Source organism: Homo sapiens, chromosome 1 (genome assembly GCF_000001405.40).
Source record: "Homo sapiens chromosome 1, GRCh38.p14 Primary Assembly".
Lineage (NCBI taxonomy): Eukaryota > Metazoa > Chordata > Mammalia > Primates > Hominidae > Homo > Homo sapiens.
This window is the reverse complement of record NC_000001.11, coordinates 211658256-211681234: the sequence shown is the minus strand read 5'-3', so window position 1 is coordinate 211681234 and position 22979 is coordinate 211658256. Positions and strand designations below refer to the sequence as shown.

The following is a 22979-nucleotide window of genomic DNA, read 5'->3' as shown; positions in this document are numbered from 1 at the left end:
CAGTCTGCCTAACACCTCATTCTTTGTTCTAGAACGTGGTTATTTGTTGAGCATATAGTATGTCATGCATCTTTTTTTTAAAAGCATCTCTTAGCTTCTGATTGTTATAAACAAAGAATCTCTCCTTTTTTCTTTCTAGAAATCTTTTTTAATCACTCGAAAGAATTGCCATAATCCCTGACTTCAAATTGCTTCAAGTAATTGTGGAGATAAGACTTATACACAAATGTCTTGTCTGATTTTAAATTCTACACATGCAAATCTGGGGATTTCCTGTAGGGACAGGCGGAGTAGTGCTGCCGCGCAGGCGCCAGCTCCTCGTTTATTATGCAGTGATGTACAGCCCTCTAGTGGGTCTTTAATGCAACATAAAAAAACGAAGCTGAGGGCAATGAAATATGGCTTTGTTCATTCATCCATTCATTTGATGTACAAGTGCTGGGTTCCTGCTTTGTTCCAGGCACATTTTAGGTGCTGGGAATACTGCAGTAAATCAAACAAACAGCAACAAAATCAGATACATTAGTTACTGGAGACTAAGAAGATGGAGAGGAGAACAAATTTGGGATGAAGATCAGGAACTTGATTTTTGGCACATTAAGTCTGGGATGCTCATTAATCTTCAAGTAGCTTCTTTTAAACATTAATTAGGTGCCGGATGCAGTGGCTCACACCTGTAATCCCAGTACTTTGGGAGGCCGAGGCGGGTGGTTCACTTGAGGTCAGGAGTTTGAGACCAGCCTGGTCAATATGGTGAAACCCTGTCTCTACTAAAAATACAAAAATTAGCCAGGCATGGTGGCCTGCACCTATAGTGCCAACTACTCGGGAGGCTGAGGCAGGAGAATCTGTTGAACTCGCGAGGCGGAGGTTGCAGTGAGCCGAGATGGCGCCACTGCACTCCAGCCTGGGTGACAGAGTGAGACTCTATCACAAAAAAAAAAAAAAAAAAAGAAAAAGAAAATTAAAATTAAAATTAATCAGGCCAGGCGTGGTGGCTCACGCCTGAAATCTCAGCATTTTGGGAGGCTGAGAGGCTTGAGCCCGGGAGTTCAAGATAAGCCTAGGCAACTTAGTGAGACCTCATCCCTACAAAAAGTTAAAACAATTGGCTAGGCATGGTGATGTGCACCGGTGATCCCAGCTAACTCAGGAGGCTGAAGTGGGAGGATTGCTTTAAGCCCAGGAGGTTGAGACTGCAGTGAGCTGTGATCGTGCCACTGCACTCCAGCCTGGGCCATAGAGTGATACCCTGTCTCAAAAAATAATAATAATAGCAATCAGTGTCTCTATGGACATGTACAGAGTGCCTGTGGGAGAAAATGCAAGTGCAAATACTCTCTTATTTGAGATTTCACCAAATTTAAATGAAAACTGACAACATGAGCACAGTTAGCAAGAAAAGTGTGAAGACAGTGAATTAGACCATGGGTGTGGGGAGAGTGGTTATCGAGAAGTTCAAGGGTTGGCCCCACTCTTATAGAGTTGCTCATCTTCTTTCTCTGTTTAAATGGAATCATCTCAGTTCTTCGTTTGTTTTCTTCTTAATTCTTGCCACAATTTGTCACAGTGGAGTTTCTCTGTGTACTTAGGTTACATCCATCTCTTCCACCTACAGGACTATATGTCTGTCCTATTCACTGTGGTATCCTCAGCATCTGGCACCTGACTCAGCCTCTATTTATACTTGTTGGAGGATGAATTTTCCATTTAATAAGGCAGAGAAGATACATGCACATGAGAAGCTAGTAATATGGCCTAGTATAATTCTAAATGAGTAAAAACACAGTTGATTACTCTTAAGAGTAATTAGAAGATAGATCATAGTGGGTTGAAGTCAATCAGGAAAAATTTCAGAGAAGAAATTGGGCATGAGCTGAGACTTAAAGAATGGATGGAATATGAAGGAAAAAGGAAAGAAGTTATAGGGGAAAGGATGTTCCCTGTAACCTGTCCCTGTTTGACTCCCACATGCTTCTCATCTCCCAGTGTCTCTTTCTATTCTGGTGTCTAGTGGTCTCTGCTGGGCTGTCCTGCCCTCACTCATGATGCGGGCTAACTCTGGCCAACCTTTAGGGTTTGTCATGTGAGTGATTCCTATGCTACCCTTTTTTTTTTTCTTTTTTTTGAGACGGAGTCTTGCTCTGTCGCCCAGGCTGGAGTGCAGTGGCGCGATCTCGGCTCACTGCAAGCTCCGCCTCCCGGGTTCACGCCATTCTCCTGCCTCAGCCTCCCCAGTAACTGGGACTGCAGGCGCCTGCCACCACACCCAGCTAATTTTTTTGTATTTTTAGTAGAGGCTGGGTTTCACCATGTTAGCCAGGATGGTCTCGATCTCCTGACCTCATGATCCGCCCACCTTGGCCTCCCAAAGTGCTGGGATTACAGGCTTGAGCCACCGTGCCCGGACTTTTTTTTTTTTTTTTTTTTTTTTTTTTTTTTTGAGACAGGGTCTCGGTCTGTTGAGCAGGCTGGAGTGTGGTAGTGCAATCTTGGCTCACTGCAACCTCTGCCTCCCAAGTTCAAGCGATTCTCCTGCCTCAGCCACCCAAGTAGCTGGGACTACAGACGTGCCACCACACCCAGCTATTTTTGTATTTTTAGTAAAGGCAGGGTTTCACCATACTGGCCACACCCAGCTAATTTTTGTATTTTTAGTAGAGGCGGGGTTTCACCTTATTGGCCACGCTGGTCTTGAACTCCTGACCTCAGGTGATCCGCCTGCCTCGGCCTCCCAAAAGGCTGGGATTACAGGCATGAGACACCACACCCAGCCTCCTGTGCTACTCTTTATTATTGTCTTTGGGGCTCCACTGTCTTTTTTTAAATGAAAAGCCAGCATGTCAATACCTATCATACCTGGGCCATAGCAAGTGCTCAATAAATACTTGTTAAATGAGCATATGTGCGTAGGAGCCACATTCCATACTCTTGGGATGGCTCCTTTCCAGATATTTCGTCTCTGCCTAGAGCTGGGGCATTTGGCAATTGAGTACTTGAGGGCCCACTCAAAATCCTTGCATAATTATTAATAAGGGGCTTTCGCAGATTTTTATTTAACGAAGCTTTATTGCATGCCTTCTCTATTACAGGACTTATGCTGGCTATAAGCAGTTCGGAGTTCAGCTACTGTGAGAGCCATGTAAACAAATAATGATAAGTTTTGATTTATGTATAAAGTGGTCTATGAACACTGTAGATGGAGGATTGACTGTCCAAGTACGCCAGAGAGGCTTCTCAGATTACAGGAGAAAAAGTTGGAATTGAATCTTGAAGGACACGTTATGTCCTCTGGGCAGACATGACTGGAGTGGATAAGGGAGTGGGTTGGACAGTATTCTGGACAAATGCAATCACAGGTGCAAAGATGGTGGTGGTGGTGAGGAACTGAGAAAGTGTGCGTTTAGAGCAAAAGCAGAAGTGGCCAGAGAGAAGGTGCAGGACTGGATTTGGGGCAGGATAACCAAACGGCTCATTTTTTTTTTTTTTTTTTTCTTGAGACGGAGTCTCACTCTGTCGCCTAGGCTGGAGTGCAGTGGTGTGATCTCCACTCACTGCAACCTCTGCCACCTGGGTTCAAGCGATTCTTCTGCCTCAGCCTCCCGAGTAGCTGGGATTACAGGTGCCTGCCATTGTGTCTAATTTTTGTATTTTTAGTAGAGACGGGGTTCACCATGTTGGCCGGGCTGATCTTGAACTCCTGACCTCGTAATCCACCCGCCTTGACCTCCCAACGTGCTGGGATTACAGGTGTGAGCCACCGTGCCCGGCCAGGGCTCTGTCTTATACAGTTTCATGTTGCTATAATAGGATGCCACAGACTGGACAATTTATAAACAATAGTTTATTTGGCTCACGGTTCTGGAAGCTAGGAAGTCCAAGATCAAGGGGTAGCATCTGGCAGCAGCCTTTTCTCTGGGTCATAAAATAGCAGAAGGCATCACATGGTAAGAGAAACAGCAAGGGAAAGCCAAACTCATTTTTATAACCAACCGACTCTCAAGATAACCCACTCCTGTGATTACGTTAATCCATTCGTGAGGGGTAGCCCTCATAACCCAATCAATTTAAAGGTCTCACCTCTTAACACTTTTGCATTAAGAATAGTTTCCAACACATGAACTTTGGGGGATACATTCAAACCACAGCAAGCTCTATGGATACCAATCTGTAAGAGGCACAAAAATAAAAAAATGATGCTAATTAACACAGCCACTTGCAGTGCCTTACATAACTTTTGAAACCTAAATTGGTCCTATTCCCCTGAGGTAAGACAGTGCCCTTGAATGTTAATTTAAAAATTCTCCTGGTTGGCAATTCCAATTATCTTATGTTATATTCAGGGCATGTAATAAGTCCCTTATTTTTACATAAAGAGCTTTTAAATTCTTATTAATAGAAAATCAGGTGTCTTTTAATCCTTTGCTGAACAGATATTTAAAGAAAACTGGCCTGTTCATGCATTTCCAAATTATTAGCTTTCTGGTAATTTACATATTCCTCTAACAAGCCCTGGATGGAGGCCTCTAAGTCCTCCTTCCCTGGTAAACATGGGGCTGTTCATTTGGCTGGGTAAGCTGAGAACGTTGGTGTGTGGGTGCGTAAAAGAGAATCTGTGTTCAATGAAGTATTGTCGATAGGGTTAATTGTGTATTTGGCACACATAAACGGGACAAGACGTGTAAAGTACTTGGTAGGAGAGCGACAGTATTTCTCCTTTTTTTTTTTTTTTTGGAGACTGGGTGTCACTCTGTCGCCCAGGCTGGAGTGCAGTGGCGCACGGCTCACTGTAACCTCTGCCTCCCAGGTTCAAGCAATTCCTCATGCCTCAGCCTCCCAAGAAGCTGGGATTACAGGCCTGCAACCCCATGCTCTGTTACTTTTTTTTTTTTTTTTTTCATTTTTAGTAGAGACGGGGTTTCGCCATGTTGGCCAGGCTGGTCTTGAACTCTTGGCCTCGAGCAATCCGCCCGCCTCGGCCTCCCAAAGTGCTAGGATTATAGGCGTGAGCCACAGCGCCCGGCCTAATTTTCGTATTTTCAGTAGAGACGAGGTTTGCCCTGTTGCCCAGGCTGGTCTGAACTCCTGGGCTCAAGCGACCCACCCACCTCGGCTTCCCAAAGTGCTAGGGTTACGGGCGAGCGTGAGTCACCGCGCCCACCCGGGAGTCTGTATTTCTAATTTGTATTCAGCTCTCAGCATATCCTCAACGTGACCCCACCCAGGTTCAGGGTACTGGAACCTGAGCGAGGAATGCGTGTGCCGGGGAGAGTAGGTAGTGTGAGGGGCCAGAGTGCAAAGGTCAGAAGGCATCTGGTGGAAGCGGTGTGCAAAGAAGCCTGAGGGGAGGACCTTAGATCTCGGTTACCTTGGCGATCTCTATCAGAGGGTTAGAGTTGCCGAGAGGCGCCAGCTGCCGCTTCCTCTCTCCCGCCCTCCGTTTGGCTTAGCTCGCCGGGTTCTCCCACAGGTTAAAAGCAGACGCCGACGCGGTTGCCTAGTGACACTTTTCCCAAAATGCCTAGGGTATTGTTGTGTTCTTCTTAGCCAATGAGAGAGGCGAAGCGGCCCACCGCCTGCCAATAGACTGCGAGATCAGGGCCCGCGACGGTTAAACGGGGCCCAAGGCAGGGGTGGCGGGTCAGTGCTGCTCGGGGGCTTCTCCATCCAGGTCCCTGGAGTTCCTGGTCCCTGGAGCTCCGCACTTGGCGGCGCAACCTGCGTGAGGCAGCGCGACTCTGGCGACTGGCCGGCCATGCCTTCCCGGGCTGAGGACTATGAAGTGTTGTACACCATTGGCACAGGCTCCTACGGCCGCTGCCAGAAGATCCGGAGGAAGAGTGATGGCAAGGTGAGCGTGGGACCTACCCTGCGCCTGCCCCTGCTTAGGTTTCGTCGCCTCGGGGCGAGCGCCCTGCGCCACCGAAGGGAACCGACAGGGCTGAGGAAATGGGTGCCCGGAAGACTAAACCGTCTTTCCTGGGTCTGCATCTGACAGCCTGTCCTGGGTGGCTTAAAGGATGGGAGACCGCTTCTTTTGATATATGTATTTCCATCTTTTCCCGTTTCTCTCCCCATTTCTCTCTTTCTCCTGCTTTGGCTTGCTAAGGACCTTCCATTGGTGACAGGTAACTAATTCCTGAGCTGTTTTTAGAGCTCTAAGAGTGGCCCTCTCAGGCACAAGAAAGGGGCAGGACTACCAGAACCCGAAGCTTTGTATCTGCAGTCAGACTCCCTCAAAATATCCATTATTAGGATTATTGGATTCATATTTCCCAATGTATATAGGTAGAACTTTTACAGAAAGTAACATTGGACAGGAAACTGCCTGGCTGCTGATGGAGGGATCTTTACCAAGGTGTCTCATCCTGGGAAAACACGACTGGGGTGGAATGGGGCAGGGACTTTGACCACCTTCACCCCAATTTTGACTATAGTACCTTTTAGCCAACTTCCCACTAACCAACTGAGGGTAGGGGTTGGGGGAGTCCTCATGTGCCTCATTCCCGTTTGTCTCCCCACAACATACATTTACTGCTTAGAACTGGAGGAAGATTATGGAAGTAAACTCACAGCTCCTTAAGTTCATTGAACTAAATTAGATAATGACCTTGATTGTAGGATATAATTAAAAGGGAGGTAATTTGTTAAATCTTGGAACTTTCATTCTTTGTTTTTGAGCATAATGAGTTCATTCATACCTTGGAAATTCTTATTTCAGATATTAGTTTGGAAAGAACTTGACTATGGCTCCATGACAGAAGCTGAGAAACAGATGCTTGTTTCTGAAGTGAATTTGCTTCGTGAACTGAAACATCCAAACATCGTTCGTTACTATGATCGGATTATTGACCGGACCAATACAACACTGTACATTGTAATGGAATATTGTGAAGGAGGGGATCTGGCTAGTGTAATTACAAAGGGAACCAAGGAAAGGTAAGCATAATCTTTTAAAAATGTAAGCTGAAATTGGTCTAGTTTCATTTATTTTAAGCATCTTGTTTTAGGATCAGTAATATGGAAGAGTGTATTTGTATTTGTTTGGTAGGTCCACAGTACTTTAGAAAATTCCTGGTGAATCAACACCCATATTTTATATCAAAATAACAATTTATAGGCTGAGTGTGGTGGCTCACACCTGTAATCCCAACACTTTGGGAGGCCGATGCGGGAGGATCACTTGAGCCCAGGATTTCAAGACCAGCCTGGGCAACATAGTGGGACCCTGTTTCTACAAAAATTAGCCAGGTATAGTGACATGTGCCTGTAGTCCAAGCTACTTGGGAGGCTAAGGCAAGAGGATTGCTTGAGCCTGGGAGGTCGAGGCTGCAGTGAGCCATGATCGTGCCACTGCATTCCAGCCTGGGTGACAGAGTAAGACCCTGTCTCAAAAAATATAAATAAATAAATAAATAAATTCCCTATTTGTACACTGGATAATTTATATCATCCCATCTTGGCAATGATTTTTTTAGAAGTTATATGCTGTATAACTGCTTTGGTTTTAGGCAATACTTAGATGAAGAGTTTGTTCTTCGAGTGATGACTCAGTTGACTCTGGCCCTGAAGGAATGCCACAGACGAAGTGATGGTGGTCATACCGTATTGCATCGGGATCTGAAACCAGCCAATGTTTTCCTGGATGGCAAGCAAAACGTCAAGCTTGGAGACTTTGGGCTAGCTAGAATATTAAACCATGACACGAGTTTTGCAAAAACATTTGTTGGCACACCTTATTACATGTCTCCTGTAAGTATTTCAGAATTTAGCTACTTTTTAAAACATCTTTTATTTTTGTTTTCTTGTTTGTTTGTTTTTGAGACAGAGTCTCGCTCTGTTGCCCAGGCTGGAGTGCAGTGGTGCGATCTGGGCTCACTGCAATCTCTGCCTCCCAGGTTCAAAGGATTCTCCTGCATCAGCCTCCTAAGTAGAGTAGCTGGGACTACAGGTGCATGTCACTATGCCTGGCTAATTTTTGTATGTTTAGTAGAGACAGGGTTTCATCATGTTGACCAGGCTGGTCTCGAACTCCTGACCTCAAGCGATCTGCTCACCTCAGTCTCCCAAAGTGTTGGGATTACAGGCGTGAGCCACCATGCCCAGCCAAAACATCTTTTAATGTTAAGCATTCTGAAGCAGGGAAATTGAGTTTTCTGTTTGTTTAGTAATATCTAGTAGCCAAGAATTGAAAATACTGTTATATTTTTCCACATGGACCACCAGACCAATAAAGTCTATATCAGTTTTTGTTTGCTGCATGAGTTATGTGCATTAATGTAAGTATGATGAAGACAGATTCCTAGTCTAAGGTTTGCGCCGTTTGTCATCTCTCACTGGGTTCAATTTTTTGAGCATTCATGCAAATTAAAGCATATTCAGTTCAAGCTTTTATGGAATGACTATGATGCATTAAACTCAAGGATTACAAAAATGAAATGGATTTTGTCCTTGCCCTCAAGAGTTGTTTCCCAATGTGTAGGTCCTAGTTATCTGCATCAGACTCACTTGGAGTGTTTGTTTAAAATGCAGAGTTCTGGGTCCCAAACCCAAACCCAAATCCATCGAGTGAATTTCGATCTCTGGGTGGGTTCTTGAACTCTGTTTTTTTTTTTTTTTAATATTTTACTTTTTATTTTAGACTTTGCATTTAAGAGGCTCTGTAAATGATTCTTGTGTATGCAGAATCAGAGCTCAGGAAGTTTGCTCACTTCAGATAGCATGTTTTTACAATGTTAACTTTTTGTACATTTTATTTTTTTGTTGCCTATCCCTGAAATATCTTGCTGAGTCCACTCACCAATTACCTCTATTGCTGGATATTTTGTTTCCAACATGTTTCACCATTCTTAGAAGTACTGCTCTGCATATCTTTGTATGAATTATTCTTTCTTCCTTTTTGGTTATTTCCTTGGAGTGTAGCTCATAAAATGAAATTGCTGGGGTAAATGTTTATGGCTGTTATTAGATATTGTCTGATGGCTTTTAAAAAGTTTAAGTCAATTGTGATAGCACTAATGTGTTAGTATATAACATCTGAACAGATAAAGATGAAGAAATATTTGTTAGTATTTTAGTAGTTCACCTTTCTAGGATTTTCCAAATATTTATAAATTATGTTAACAGATCTTACTATAGTATAAAACTTTGTAAATTAATGATTTTGGTTTTGACTAAAAATAGCCAGAACAGTACCATTTTCTCACTGTATCAAATTCCAAATAGAATGTTTTTAACATAAAGGACAATTATCCAGAAGTGGTTCTTGGGAAATTTGAAACCTATTCTTTTGTTCCTTTTCCCTCCTGCCCTTGTAATTAGAGTGGTTCAGCTTTCCTAAGGCACTGATTGTCAAAAAGTGGCATCAGACTCACCAGTTGGACTTTAAAACACTAACCAGCCACTAGAGATTGCTTCTATTCCCTCTGTTGAGAATAGGAGCTCTGGTAGGCTGTTGTTACTGTAGATGTGGAAGAAAGGCAAACAATAAAATAGGTAAGGATAATATTAGTTACTACTGTGATTTATGGAGTGGACTAAGACAAAATATAAATGGATAATTCAATTAGCTATTTATGTCTATATCCATTTAAATGTGGACTAGATACATATTTTGACTATTCTTAAATTTCCTCTAGTTCTTTTAAAATGGTGTTTCTTAATTTGCCTTGAGAGTAGAAGTCTCTCATATTCACCTCTGTATTGTCAGTGCCTAGTCTATACTAAGCACTTTCATTTGTGAATGGAAAATGAGTGAATGAATTATGTATGATGGAGTGTATTGGAACAAGATCATTGCCTTTTTTCCATTATAAATTTCAAGATAAAGTATAAGCTAAAAACTTTGAGGTTCTGTTTTTATCTCAGGAGTAATTTAATGTGTTTTTTAAGTTTCAAAACAAAATAAACTCTTAACACCTTCCACTTTCTTACCCTTTTTCCCTGTATAGGAACAAATGAATCGCATGTCCTACAATGAGAAATCAGATATCTGGTCATTGGGCTGCTTGCTGTATGAGTTATGTGCATTAATGTAAGTATGATGAAGACAGATTCCTAGTCTAAGGTTTGTACTGTTTGTCACATTTCACTGGGTTCAGTTTTTTGAGCCTCTGTGCTAACGAAAGTATATTCAAGTCTGAAAGAATTGTACCCTGGGTAAAATTAAGGTAGATAGATGAACAGGCTAAAAGAAACTATTCACAAATTAAAACTATAAGCCATGAGGCTGGGTCTTGACTGTTCAAGGGTCTTGGCTGGTTAGGTGCTTTCTTATTAGATTGACACTTAGCTCAAGGGAGAGCACATAGGTCAGGCAGGTAAGGTAAAGCTACTGTAAGGATGTGGAAGAAATGAAACAAGACTCGGGTAGAGGTCTGGGGATCTGTAGAGCAGGGAAGAGCTCCAATTCTTTTCCTTTGTTCTTCTTTTCATTTTCTTTCCCTTTGAAACTATTCTGTAGAGCAGTGATTCTCAACTAGGGATAAGGGAAGCAAATTTGCCTCTTATGGGGCATTTGATGATGTTTGGATAAATTTTTAGTTATCACAGCTGGGGAGTGCTTCTGGCATCTAGAGGGTAGAGGGCAGGGAGGCTACAAAATACCTATAATGCACAGGACAGCCCCCCACAACAAAGAATTATATGACCTCAAATGTCAATAGTGCCAAGGTTGGGAAACTTACTTATAAGAAGAAAATCCCAGAAGTAGAAACTTAAATACAAACTGGAGCTTAAGCTGTGCTTTTGATTTAGTTCCTATTGTATATTTTCATTTTTACAATTTGAAAATGTCTTCGTCGTCTTCTTCTTCTTTTTTAACCCTAGGCCTCCATTTACAGCTTTTAGCCAGAAAGAACTCGCTGGGAAAATCAGAGAAGGCAAATTCAGGCGAATTCCATACCGTTACTCTGATGAATTGAATGAAATTATTACGAGGATGTTAAACTTAAAGGTAAAGATGATAAGATGATATATTGTCTGTTTCTAGCTGTCAGTTAAGTGTCAGAGCATACATTCTCTCTTGTAGATCAATGGAGACTGAAGAAACGTTAAATATACTTTCTTAGCTAAATTTACTGTGTTAACACAAGTGAAAACATATGTAAATTTGGCAAATTGCACATCCTTGCTGGCCCACCTTCTGCGCTTTCTTTATTTCTCCTCCCACTCTGTCATGCTAACAGATGGTCGGTAGCAAGGAAAGATTGCAAAAAGAATTCAAATTCTCGTTCCCCTTGTCCTTGCCTACCTCACAGTGGCAGGTAGTGAGGGAAGGGGCCAGAAATAAGAGTTTATTACTCTGCCTCTAGCTCTAATTGAGAGATTAAAGACCAGAAGAAGGGGAGGGGTGATGGAGGGCGGACGGAGGACAGCTAAAAACAGAGGGAAAATCAATAAAGAGATTATGTGGAAAAACTCTGGCTATAGAATGGGGAAGGAGATGTTCTGGGGACCAGGCTGACATAAGAGAAGAAGGAAAATGCCGTAGGATCACAGAGAAGGATACAGATGAAGTGACAGGATTGAGAGTCAGTGAGAGAGTATCTTGCTAAATGTAGTTTAGAAATGCAAGGGCAGTACTTCCCCTAAAACAGACCCTAGCAATGCTACCAAGCCCCAGCACAAGATGTGCCAATCTTCAGGGATTGAACCTTCTTAGAAAGGTGAAAAGGGGAAAAGGGAAAAAAGGTAAGTTAACATCTGCATTACCTTGTGGACCCAGAACCTCATGAGTTAAAACCACCAGTGAACTTATTTTTCCAAGTTTTTAAGACCTAGCCATAAAGGAGTCCTTTCTTTTGTCTTGGAAACACATTTTTGTCCTTTTATTTTAACTGCTGTCTTAGGAGGACTATTCTGTTATGCAATCTGACTATAATACTGAGTATTTTTTCCCCAGGATTACCATCGACCTTCTGTTGAAGAAATTCTTGAGAACCCTTTAATAGCAGATTTGGTTGCAGACGAGCAAAGAAGAAATCTTGAGAGAAGAGGGCGACAATTAGGAGAGCCAGAAAAATCGCAGGATTCCAGCCCTGTATTGAGTGAGCTGAAACTGAAGGAAATTCAGTTACAGGAGCGAGAGCGAGCTCTCAAAGCAAGAGAAGAAAGATTGGAGCGTAAGTCTGAATGGGGGTCAAAGCAAAGGAGAACTACCAAGTGGGTTATTTTGATGTGTCTGAATATCTCTTTGAGCAGAATATTTTATACATACAGATCTTATTAGAAGCTTTTGAAAAATACTTGAGAAACCAAAATATGTATTTTAGACTTTTTAATAATCAGGCTTGCTGGCACCTTCATGTTGGACATCTTTCTCTGAGATCAGTTGCTAGTTATATATTATTGGGCCTTAACTGTGATGGCCCTAATACGATAGCCTTGTATTTTACTCTAGAGTTACTTTTTTCTTTTTCGTCTCTACTGTGAATACCCTAATGTTTTCCCACTGTAAAGGAAGGTCTTAAAATTGCTGCTTTCCATAATAAAAAACCATGACTTTTGTCTTTTGAAATGGCCACTCCAACAGAATTCCAGGTCTAAAACCCTACAGTATGTAGATGAGATATGTTCAGGCAATTCTTTTCTTTTTTTTTAACTTTTTATTTTTGAAAATGAGATGGGGTCTCACTATATTACCCAGGCTGGTCTTGAACTCCTGAGCTCAAGTGATCCTCCCATCTTACCTCCCAAAGTGCTGGGATTATAGGTGTGACCTACCACACCTGGTCTGTTCAGGCAGTTCAATAGAGAATCTAGATACAAGATATTTTAAGTCTATAAATAATACTCTGGTGGGTATTAACATTGACTTATGAGTATTAACTGATTAGATGCTAATTTAGTTTTGATATTGAAAGTGTGTCTACTCCACCAAGATGAGAGCTACTCGCAAGCATTTAGGGTTATGCAAGGTAGCTACAGAGTGAGGTTCTTCATTTTAACATCAGGAGACGAGAGATGGGGTCGTATTTGTGACCTGTCACCCTCATGACTCACCTGATTTTACTTCTGCAGCTTTATGCCCAATCCAGGCTTTAAATAATGAAATATTGTATAGTCCTGTGAGATATGCTTACTGTATAGGTACAACCTATACTTACTTGGAAACCTCTGTAAAAAATAAGAAAGCTTTTTCTTATAACTTTCCCCAGTGTTTCATAATTTCTTTTCTTTTTTTTTTTTGAGATGGAATTTCACTCTTGTTGCCCAGGCTGAAGTGCAGTGGCACCATCTTGGTTCATTGCAACCTCTACCTCCCGGGTTCAAGCAATTCTCCTGCCTCAGCCTCCTGAGTAGCTGGGATTACAGGCGCCTGCCACCATGCCTGGCTAATTTTTGATTTTTTAGTAGAGATGGGGTTTTGCCATGTTGACCTGGCTGGTCTTGAACTCCTGACATCAGGTGATCCACCTGCCTCGGCCTCCCAAAGTGTTGGGATTACAGGCGTGAGCCACTGTGACCAGCCATAATTTCATATAGCAACTGAAATCTGAATACTTTCTGAATTTGGGGCCATGAATAAATAGTAACATTTGTTATTAATACTAATCCTATGAACTACCACCTAACTGAATTGTGTTTTTTTTCTTTTGTTTGGGTGTGGTCATTCAACCAGAAGAAGGAGATTTTTGTACTGTGAGGCCAGATCATGCCCTGAAAATTAGCTGTTGCTTATCTTCAGTGAAGAGCAGAGATAGCTTTAGTTTTTTGTTTTCCCAAATGAGTTACTCCCACAAAAGATGACCAAAGGTTGAAGCTAACTTTGTATTTGTTTAAACAAGTCCTTTCAAGAAAATCTAAGATAACATACAGCCTACTAAAACACTCAATTAAAAACTAACATAATCAGGTTGACTGAGGCATAGTGAGAATCCTTTCCCCAAACATTGCTTATCAGTATCAGGCATGCTAGTAGTGATAAGATTGCCAAATGTAAATTGTTTTTTAGTCAAGGTCAGTTGTTAATTTTTTTTTCTTTGTCCATTCTCTTTTTAAAGAGAAAGAACAGGAGCTTTGTGTTCGTGAGAGACTAGCAGAGGACAAACTGGCTAGAGCAGAAAATCTGTTGAAGAACTACAGCTTGCTAAAGGAACGGAAGTTCCTGTCTCTGGCAAGTAATCCAGGTATGAGAATCAACTTGGTCAACAGAAGCTGGTGCTACAAATGAAGAAATGTGCACCAGTGTTGCTCCCAAAGTGGCTTAGGTAGCCCTTTTCATTTACAAATCTCAAATTTTAAGATGGATTTCATTGAATATATGCATTTCAATGGAAACAAAATTCTGTTATAGCAATGATTTATTTCCTGGGTTCATAGACCTGAGGCAATGAGTCATAGAATTTCATGTTTGATTTTCTTTACCTTATCAAACTACATGTTTAGTAATTGATACTTATTTTTATTATCATTATTTATTTTTTTATTTTTTTTGAGATGGAGTCTCACTCTGTAGCCCAGGCTGGAGTGCAGTGGCACAATCTCGGCTCACTGCAAGCTCTGCCTCCCGGGTTCACGCCATTCTTCTGCCTCAGCCTCCCAAGTAGCTGGGACTACAGACACCCGCCACCAAGCCCGGCTAATTTTTGTATTTTTAGTAGAGACGGGGTTTCACCGTGTTAGCCAGGATGGTCTCGATTTCCTGACCTCGTGATCCGCCTGCCTCGGCCTCCCAATGTGCTGGGATTACAGGCATGAGACACCGTGCCCAGCCGATACTTATTTTTAAAAATTAGGGCATTTACAAAACTATTGTATGTTTCAGATTTCAGAGAGATAAACTGCATTTCAAGTAAAAATAAACATTTTAATATTGCCATGCCTCATTTTTCATAGAAAGCATGGCTTAAAAGGCATGATAAGCCACCTGCAGAATAGGCTGTCACGTTTGGATCTTTGCTAACACCCTTTCAAGTTGAAAGACATATTTGTTGAAATTTGATTGTTTAATATCTACATATGTTCTCTGCATTTCCTTCTTTATTTAAAGTCTGGTATATAGATATTCAGCTTTCTCAGGGCCCTGCCTTTGTGTGGCATTGTCCCTTCACTCTGCCGCACTGAGATGTGGTTATCGTATATACCAGTGAACCATTGTCTAACATTCTCCATTTTATAGAAACCCTCAATCTAATTTAATCGACTCTTTAAGATTATGTAAAATGCAAACTGTGAAACATCTTTTTGCTTGATTTATGACACAAACTAACTGTTAAAAGTTGTTGGTTTCAAAAATCGAGCATCTGAATTTTCAATAAAATTTAGAGTTTTTATAACTCCCTTATTCCATGTAGGACAGCATATATGAAAGCTATTATTCCCATCTTTAATAAATTGAGATGTAGTGTGATCAATTTAGTGAGCATTGGCAGCATTTTGTAAATGGAACAGACAAAAAACCCTACTTAAGTTAGATTGATGATCACAATAACTTTGTAGTGAATAAGTGATGGAAAGAAATGAAACTACTGATAGAAGTAAATGAAACAAGGATTATATGAAACTTTGGCTTCATCTCTGTTAAAATACCTTCTTTTTTCCCAATATTGCAGTCTACCATTTCAATATTATAAAAATATTTATTCTGGCTTTTCATAGATTCCACACTGTCATCCATAAAGACAAAATAGACTTAAATCATGATTAGGGTGATAAAATGAGGAGAAAATTTTACCTGGATGAATTTCATGCATCAAACCCATTGCAGAGAATTACTTAAGACCCTGTTGGGGATGGCTGTTCGGTTAAAGAGTTTATTTACATTTGCCCTGATAGTCTTTGAGCAAAAGATGAAAATAGCTAAGTAAGGATGATGTGTTTTACTTTATAGGATACACAGATAAGTATGGGAATCTACTTATATGTGAATCATGGCAAATATTTAAAATGAGCCATAGGAATCAAGTATCCACTGGGGCAAGCAGACATTTTAGGGTATTGAGTGCTGAAAGTAGTGAACACATCAGAGCTATAAGATAAGCATCATAGCAGTGGGGAGCGGGTACCATTCTGAACTCAGGACAGTTGGAAATATTCTCTCCCCATCCTTGGGCTATAAAATCCACACGTGAGGAAGCCATCACAAGTATATTGAAATCATCACAGCAAGCAGCAGTGTCTTTTTTAAAAGCTGTTCTTTTCGTATTTGATGAAATATTCATTCTTCTATTTAATGGAAGAATTTTAAAAATGTTTTTAAAACACTTTCTTTCTTATAAAACTGTCCCATTAAGAGCCAAGTGTGGTGACGCACCTATAGTCCCAGCTACTCTGGGGCTCAGGCAGGAAGATCACTTAAGCCGAGGCGTCCAAGGCTGTAGTGCACTACAGCTGCACCTGTGACTAGCCACTGCACTCCAGCCTGGAAAACATGGCAAGACCCCATCTCAGACAAAAACAAAAACAAAATAAAACTATCCCATTAGTAAGACAATGTTGACTTACAAATGTAAAGGTATTTGTGGTAATAAGAAGGTGGATAGAGTTGAAACAGTGGAGATAAGGTCTAAAAGCAATCCAGTTTGCTTTGAAGCAGAAGCGACGTATGAAGCGGGAAGTCACAGGACCCTTGGAAGGCAGTGCATCTGTGTGCCAGCCTTTCCTATTTCTTCTGCCTGGAGCACTCTTCATCCAGACAGCCCTGTGGCTTCTTACTTCAGAAATGCTGTATGAGGCTTTGTATCATTACACCCAGCACCCAGCACCCAGCATGTCCCTGTTTCCAGAGCTATTTTTCCTAATAGCACGTATTACCATCAAATATTCCCCACCAGTACTTGTTTGTTTGTGTTTGGTTTATCTCCTCCTACTAGAATAGGGCCTTTGTTTGGTTCACAGTGGCCCATCCTATGAGCTCAGTAAATATTCGAACATATTTCCTTTAACACAAAAAATAAAAGGATTCTAGAATCTGTAAGCCTCCAGCCCCCAGTAATTCTGTCAGCAGTTAATAGTGTTGCCACTTTAAGTAAATATGATTATTATTTATTTTTTCCATGTAAAGAATAGTTTACAGTTTTTACTACTCTTACTTGATTTACCTTTTCCACACTGAATTTGTTTAGATTTTTTGGAAACAGATTTCTCGTCCATTAAGATGCTTTGAACTAAGTGTTCTTGAACATTTAACCAAAACTGTAGGTGTTCTCTATTTAAAAAAAAAAAAAAAAACAAAGACAGAAAAAAACCTCTGCTTCTACACTTTTCTGTAGGTAAGGTGTTCTGCATAGAATGGCACTTATTTTCAAGGACAGAGATAAATAACATTGATTTCCAAAAGTTTTATGTTGTCCATAATACTCAGTGTGTTTAAGAGTAAAATTGATTGTTGGTTGTTAAGAGAATAAAACTTATGTTCCTTGAATTTTGGCACATTCCAATATTATTTTTTCAATGCTGTGGATTAAAAGGCTGATTTCTGCAAGTCCTACACCCCTAACCTCCTATCCCAGAGAAAATAAAACAGGCACCTAGATTTCAAATGTGAGCCATAAGAGCAAATACTTTTTGATAAGTATAAGTATGAAGGAGTTGAACTCTGTTCAAGTAACTCAGAGCCCTTTTTCTTTTTCCTTCTAAAGAACTTCTTAATCTTCCATCCTCAGTAATTAAGAAGAAAGTTCATTTCAGTGGGGAAAGTAAAGAGAACATCATGAGGAGTGAGAATTCTGAGAGTCAGCTCACATCTAAGTCCAAGTGCAAGGACCTGAAGAAAAGGCTTCACGCTGCCCAGCTGCGGGCTCAAGCCCTGTCAGATATTGAGAAAAATTACCAACTGAAAAGCAGACAGATCCTGGGCATGCGCTAGCCAGGTAGAGAGACACAGAGCTGTGTACAGGATGTAATATTACCAACCTTTAAAGACTGATATTCAAATGCTGTAGTGTTGAATACTTGGTTCCATGAGCCATGCCTTTCTGTATAGTACACATGATATTTCGGAATTGGTTTTACTGTTCTTCAGCAACTATTGTACAAAATGTTCACATTTAATTTTTCTTTCTTCTTTTAAGAACATATTATAAAAAGAATACTTTCTTGGTTGGGCTTTTAATCCTGTGTGTGATTACTAGTAGGAACATGAGATGTGACATTCTAAATCTTGGGAGAAAAAATAATGTTAGGAAAAAAATATTTATGCAGGAAGAGTAGCACTCACTGAATAGTTTTAAATGACTGAGTGGTATGCTTACAATTGTCATGTCTAGATTTAAATTTTAAGTCTGAGATTTTAAATGTTTTTGAGCTTAGAAAACCCAGTTAGATGCAATTTGGTCATTAATACCATGACATCTTGCTTATAAATATTCCATTGCTCTGTAGTTCAAATCTGTTAGCTTTGTGAAAATTCATCACTGTGATGTTTGTATTCTTTTTTTTTTTCTGTTTAACAGAATATGAGCTGTCTGTCATTTACCTACTTCTTTCCCACTAAATAAAAGAATTCTTCAGTTTCCCTGTAGTTATGTGTCTTGCATTTGTTGGTCTCTTAGTTGATGGGAGTTGTGTTTATGATTTGTAGGTCTTCATTGTAGGGTACAGAAGGAAACATGGATCTGATGCTCAAGGGAGTGGCATTCCAGTCCTAAACTGTATGGCGCTTTACCTCCCATCTCATTAATCCATGTATGTAAGCCAGTGGTCCTTAACAGGGTGATTTTGCTCCTCAAGAGACGTTTGGCAATGTCTGGGGGCATTTTTGATTGTCATGATTTGGGGTAGGGTGCTACTGGCTGCTAGTGGGTACAGGCCAGGGACACTGTAAACATTTTACAATGCACAGGACAGCTGCTGACAACAAAATGTCCATGGGTTTGGATCATAATCCTGAATGATACAATCTCAAATGCGAAAATCCTGAAAGACCAAAATCCCTAATGTCTTAAATCCCAAAAGATCAGAATCCCTAATGTGTGAACTTCCAAAATCACAATCCTGAAAGATTAAAATCCCAGATGTTAAAATCCTGAAAGCCGAATTTGAGGTTAGGGATTAGTGCCGTTTCAGCTGTATACAGGATAATTGCATCATGTTAGGCAGAACTATTACCTTGTTATTGTCTTCATTTGGAAATTAAGTATGGTTTAAGAGATGTGGATGGATATCGAGTTGATAAGGGGTGAACTTGTTGATTTATGTGTCAACTTGACTGGATTAAGGAATCCCTAGAAATCTGGTAAAGCATTATTTTAGATGTGTCTGTGAGGGTGTTTCCAGAGGAGGTTAATATGTGAGTCTCAGTAGACTAGGTGGGGAATATCTTTCCTCAATGTTTAGTGTTTTGAAGATCATAAAAGCGACTTTTCAGGTGAAAAGTACAAGAAATCTCTCCTGCCAAATTATTCAGTTATGTACAAATTCTGCTCCTTCATGAATAGTGCCACGCTTGCCTTAAAAAAATGCCCTTTGTCAGAGAATAAAATTCGACAAGCTGAACGACCTTGTGAACCAAAGACACTTGCTGATACTGAGGTTCCTCCAGTGTTACAAAACTCATTAACCAAACTGTTCTTGGTTAGGGATTTGACTGTCGAAGAAGATAGACTGCTTATATTTACCACTAAATCTAACAGAAAAACTATCGCATGTTTTCATTTTGGCTAGTGGACGGCACTTTCAAAACTATCCCTACTGGTTTTTATCAACTATACATGATTCATGCCCCTGTTGGTTCTGAAGATTCTAGAACTTATCTAGTCATTTAAACAATTATTTGAAGATTTGCTGCACTTTGCAGAAGAAAATAGCTTTCGATTGAATCCCCAAACCATAACAACAGATTTGGAATTAGGTGTGATCAAAGCTTCTAAAAGTGAATTTCAAAGTGTTACCAATAAAGTTTGTTTTTTTTCCATTCAGCCCAATGCATTTGATAGAAAATTAGATGAGTAGATAGGCCAGGAGATACAGCAATGACAAAAACTTCAGTTTAGAAGCAGGAACCCGCATCCAGGAATAGAGCCCTTTGCTCCTCCCTCAGAATGAATGGAGATCAAAAATCAGATGCTTATGCCCAAGAAAAACAGGATTTCATTCAGCACTTCTCCCGGATTGTTAGGGTGCTGACTGAGGATGAGATGGGGCACCCAGAGACAGGAGATGCTATCGCCCAGCTCAAGGAGGTCCTGGAGTACAATGCCATCGGAGGCAAGTTATCACCGGGGTTTGACGGTGCTTAGCATTCCGGGAGCTGGTGGAGCCAAGGAAACAGGATGCTGATAGTTTCCAGCGGGCCCTGATGGTGGGTTGGTGTGTGGAACTGCTGCAAGCTTTCTTCCTCGTGGTAGATGACATCACGGATTCATCCCTCACCCACTGGGGACAGATCTGCTGGTATCAGAAGCTGGGCGTGGGTTTGGATGCTGTCAATGATGCTATGCTTCTGGAAGCATGTATCTACTGCCTGCTGAAGCTCTGTTGTTGGGAGCAGCCCTATTACCTGAACCTGATTGAGCTCTTCCTGCAGAGTTCCTATCAGACTGAGATTGGGCAGACCCTGGACCCCATCACAGCACCCCCAGGGCAATGTGGATCTTCGCAGATTCAAGGAAAAGAATTACAAATTGTCAAGTACAAGACAGTTTTCTACTCTTTCTACCTTCCTATAGCTGCAGCCATGCATATGGCAGGCATTGATGGTGAGAAGGCACACACCAATGCCAAGAAGATCCTGCTGGAGATGGGAGAGTTCTTTAAGATTCAGGATGATCACTTTGACCTCTTTGGGGACTCCACTGTGACTGACAAAGTTGGCACTGCCATCTAGGACAACAAATGCAGCTGGCTGGTGGTTCAGTGTCTGCAATGGGCCACTCCAAAACAGTACCAGATCCTGAAGGAGAATTAGGGGCAGAAGGAGGCCAAGAAGGTGGTCCAGGAGAAGGCACTATATGAGGAGCTAGATCTGCTGGCCGTGTTCTTGCAGTATGAGGATGACAGTTACAGCCACAGCCACATTATGGGTCTCATTGAACAGTATGCAATGCCCCTGCTCCCAGCCATCTTTCTGGGGCTGGCGTGCAAAATCTACAAGCGGAAAAAGTGACCTAGAGACTGCAAGGGCAGGGAGAGGAGGCTCTCAATAAATTACTGTGTAACCTTGAAAACAAAACAAAAAACTTCAGTTTAAAAATGCACTTTCCAGCTGGGCGTGGTGGCCAAGGAGGGAGGATCTCTTGAACTTAGAAATTTCATAACAGCCTGGGCAATGTAGTGAGACACTGTCTCTAGAAATAATTTTTTTAAAAGTTAGCCAGGTGTGGCGTGTGCCTGTGGTCCCAGCTACTTGGGAGGCTGAGGCAGGAGGATTGTCTGAGCCCGGGAGGTGGAGGCTGCAGTGAGCTGTGATGAAGCCACTGTACTCCAGCCTGGGAGACAGAGAGAGACCCTGTCTCTTAAAGGGCAGGTGGGTGGGGGGTGGGGGAAGAGTGTTTCCTTGTGTACAGTATGTATTAAGAGATGGGGAAAAAATGTATCATTCGCCTGCCTTGGAATTCCTTCCAGCTGATGACATTCTAGAAACTTTTAATGAATTAAAGCCACATTTGCCTGAAGACGTCAGCAAAGTTACTGACTGTTTTGAAAATAAATATGTACATGGTAGGATAAGAAAATACACAATGGTGTTGCTGTTTGATCACCAGTACTGTTTCTGTCAAATCTGTGGCCTAATGAGTGCATGCAGAACAGATTTCTGAGTACCCAAAACAACACAGAAGCATGACACAGAAAATAGGGAAATTTAGTAGGGAATGCTCCTGTCAGTGTATATGGAATCATAGAAGAATGCCAGGAAGAACAGCACCATGTAGAAAATGAATGTGAACATATTCTCCAAGTAGAGCCATGCCCTAAAAGAGAAAAAGCAGCTATTCCTCATGATGCAAGACTTTAAAATATAGTTAATGATTGTGGAGGTTGGCCAGCTCTTATGGACTATCTCCATGCAATTGCCCATAATCCAGTCCTGTAATACACTTTTTTGTATGTCAAATTATCTTTTTTTTTTCTGTTTTATGTTTTTTTTTCACTATTTAAAATTGTTGGCATTCTTTTTTACAATTTGCTATGCTATATAATTCATCTTCAAATCATTTCTGATACTGGAGGCATAATTTGTGTAGAGACTTAGAAAGTTCTGTTTTTTTGCAAATTTGACTCCATGAAAGTACATTGTCACAGCATTGACTGTGTGTAAGCATTGTTCCTGTACATAAAAACATTGAAGCATCCTCAGTAAGTGAAGAGGTGTCCTTTTTGTACATCTGCATTTGTGAAAGGTAAAATGTTTGAACATCTTGGCTCTTTAGGTGGCTGCATATGCAGTAGTGACCCATCCTGTTTTTGATAGATCTCATCAAAAGAATCTTAGGTTGTTATGGTATTTCAGATGACCAAAGGCATAAAACTGGGTGCACACATTTACCAACCATGGGGATATGCATTTACATTTCCCTTCTTGACCTATTTCTTTTTTTTTCTTTCCTTTTTTTTTTTTTTTTTTTTTTTTTTTTTGAGATAGAGTCTCACTTTGTTGCCCAGGCTGGAATGCAGTGGTGTGATCACAGCTCAATGTAGCCTTGGCCTCGTAGGCTCAAGTAATCCTCCCACTTCAGCCTCCTGTGATGGAGTCTCACTGTTTTGCCCAGGATGGTCTTGAACTCATGGGCTCAAGCAATCCTCCCACCTTGGCTGGGATTACAGGTATGAGCCATTGCGCCCAGCCCCTTTATGACCTATTTCTTTATGAATATGGCTTGTCTGTTCATTACTGATATAATTATGCAACTTTCATTAGTATATATGAATGTTTATGCTTGCACAAAAATGTATGTTATTATTGCCTATTTTATTGCATAAAGTGACCTATGAAGTGTTCTGTGTTTTCATATGTTTCTCAAATAAATTCCCTTTAAAAATGTAAATACATGTAAATGTAAAAAAAAAAGTAAATAAATATCTTTTAAAGAATTTTTAAA

The 22979-nt window shown here is 40.9% G+C and overlaps 1 protein-coding gene, 1 long non-coding RNA gene and 1 pseudogene across 4 annotated transcripts in view, besides 2 other annotated features; 2 read left to right on the top strand and 1 right to left on the bottom strand.

Annotated features, from left to right (window-relative positions):
• The window catches only part of NEK2-DT (NEK2 divergent transcript), an 11698-nt gene extending 6225 nt beyond the window's left edge, over nucleotides 1–5473 (bottom strand). The window contains exons 1-2 of the long non-coding RNA NR_148994.1: nucleotides 5369–5473; nucleotides 4081–4168 (exon numbers count right to left, since the gene is read on the bottom strand). This is a non-coding gene — a long non-coding RNA (NEK2 divergent transcript). The remainder of the gene's footprint in view (nucleotides 1–4080; nucleotides 4169–5368) is intronic.
• Nucleotides 5334–5628: an enhancer, noted in NCBI's record as "tiled region #55; K562 Activating DNase unmatched - State 1:Tss". NCBI's record gives its function as "activates a minimal TATA promoter and a strong SV40 promoter by Sharpr-MPRA in K562 cells {active_cell/tissue: K562}" and the evidence as "EXISTENCE:reporter gene assay evidence [ECO:0000049][PMID:27701403]".
• On the top strand, nucleotides 5614–22979 carry NEK2 (NIMA related kinase 2). Of its 3 annotated transcripts, none has more exons than NM_001204182.2 (8): nucleotides 5614–5851; nucleotides 6722–6939; nucleotides 7512–7752; nucleotides 9951–10033; nucleotides 10828–10954; nucleotides 11903–12122; nucleotides 14004–14129; nucleotides 22523–22979. In NM_001204182.2, exons 1-8 carry the CDS (start codon nucleotides 5756–5758, stop codon nucleotides 22576–22578), a joined length of 1167 nt encoding a protein of 388 aa, NP_001191111.1. In that variant the 5' UTR covers nucleotides 5614–5755; the 3' UTR covers nucleotides 22579–22979. The 3 variants fall into 3 exon arrangements, with proteins under 3 accessions (NP_001191111.1, NP_002488.1, NP_001191112.1); NM_002497.4 differs by lacking the exon at nucleotides 22523–22979 and adding an exon at nucleotides 17583–18463; NM_001204183.2 differs by lacking the exon at nucleotides 22523–22979 and having other exon boundaries at nucleotides 14004–14818.
• Nucleotides 5651–5910: an enhancer, noted in NCBI's record as "active region_2489". NCBI's record gives its function as "activates an Ori minimal core promoter by ATAC-STARR-seq in GM12878 lymphoblastoid cells {active_cell/tissue: GM12878}" and the evidence as "EXISTENCE:reporter gene assay evidence [ECO:0000049][PMID:35858748]".
• FDPSP8 (farnesyl diphosphate synthase pseudogene 8) lies at nucleotides 19936–21102 on the top strand (annotated as a pseudogene).

Coding starts and splice junctions, on each gene's coding strand:
- NEK2 (NM_002497.4), top strand. CDS start 5,756: ATGCCTTCCCGGGCTGAGGACTATGAAGTGTTGTACACCATTGGCACA. Junction 6,940..7,511: donor ACAAAGGGAACCAAGGAAAG/GTAAGCATAATC, acceptor CTTTGGTTTTAG/GCAATACTTAGATGAAGAGT. Junction 10,955..11,902: donor CGAGGATGTTAAACTTAAAG/GTAAAGATGATA, acceptor TTTTTTCCCCAG/GATTACCATCGACCTTCTGT.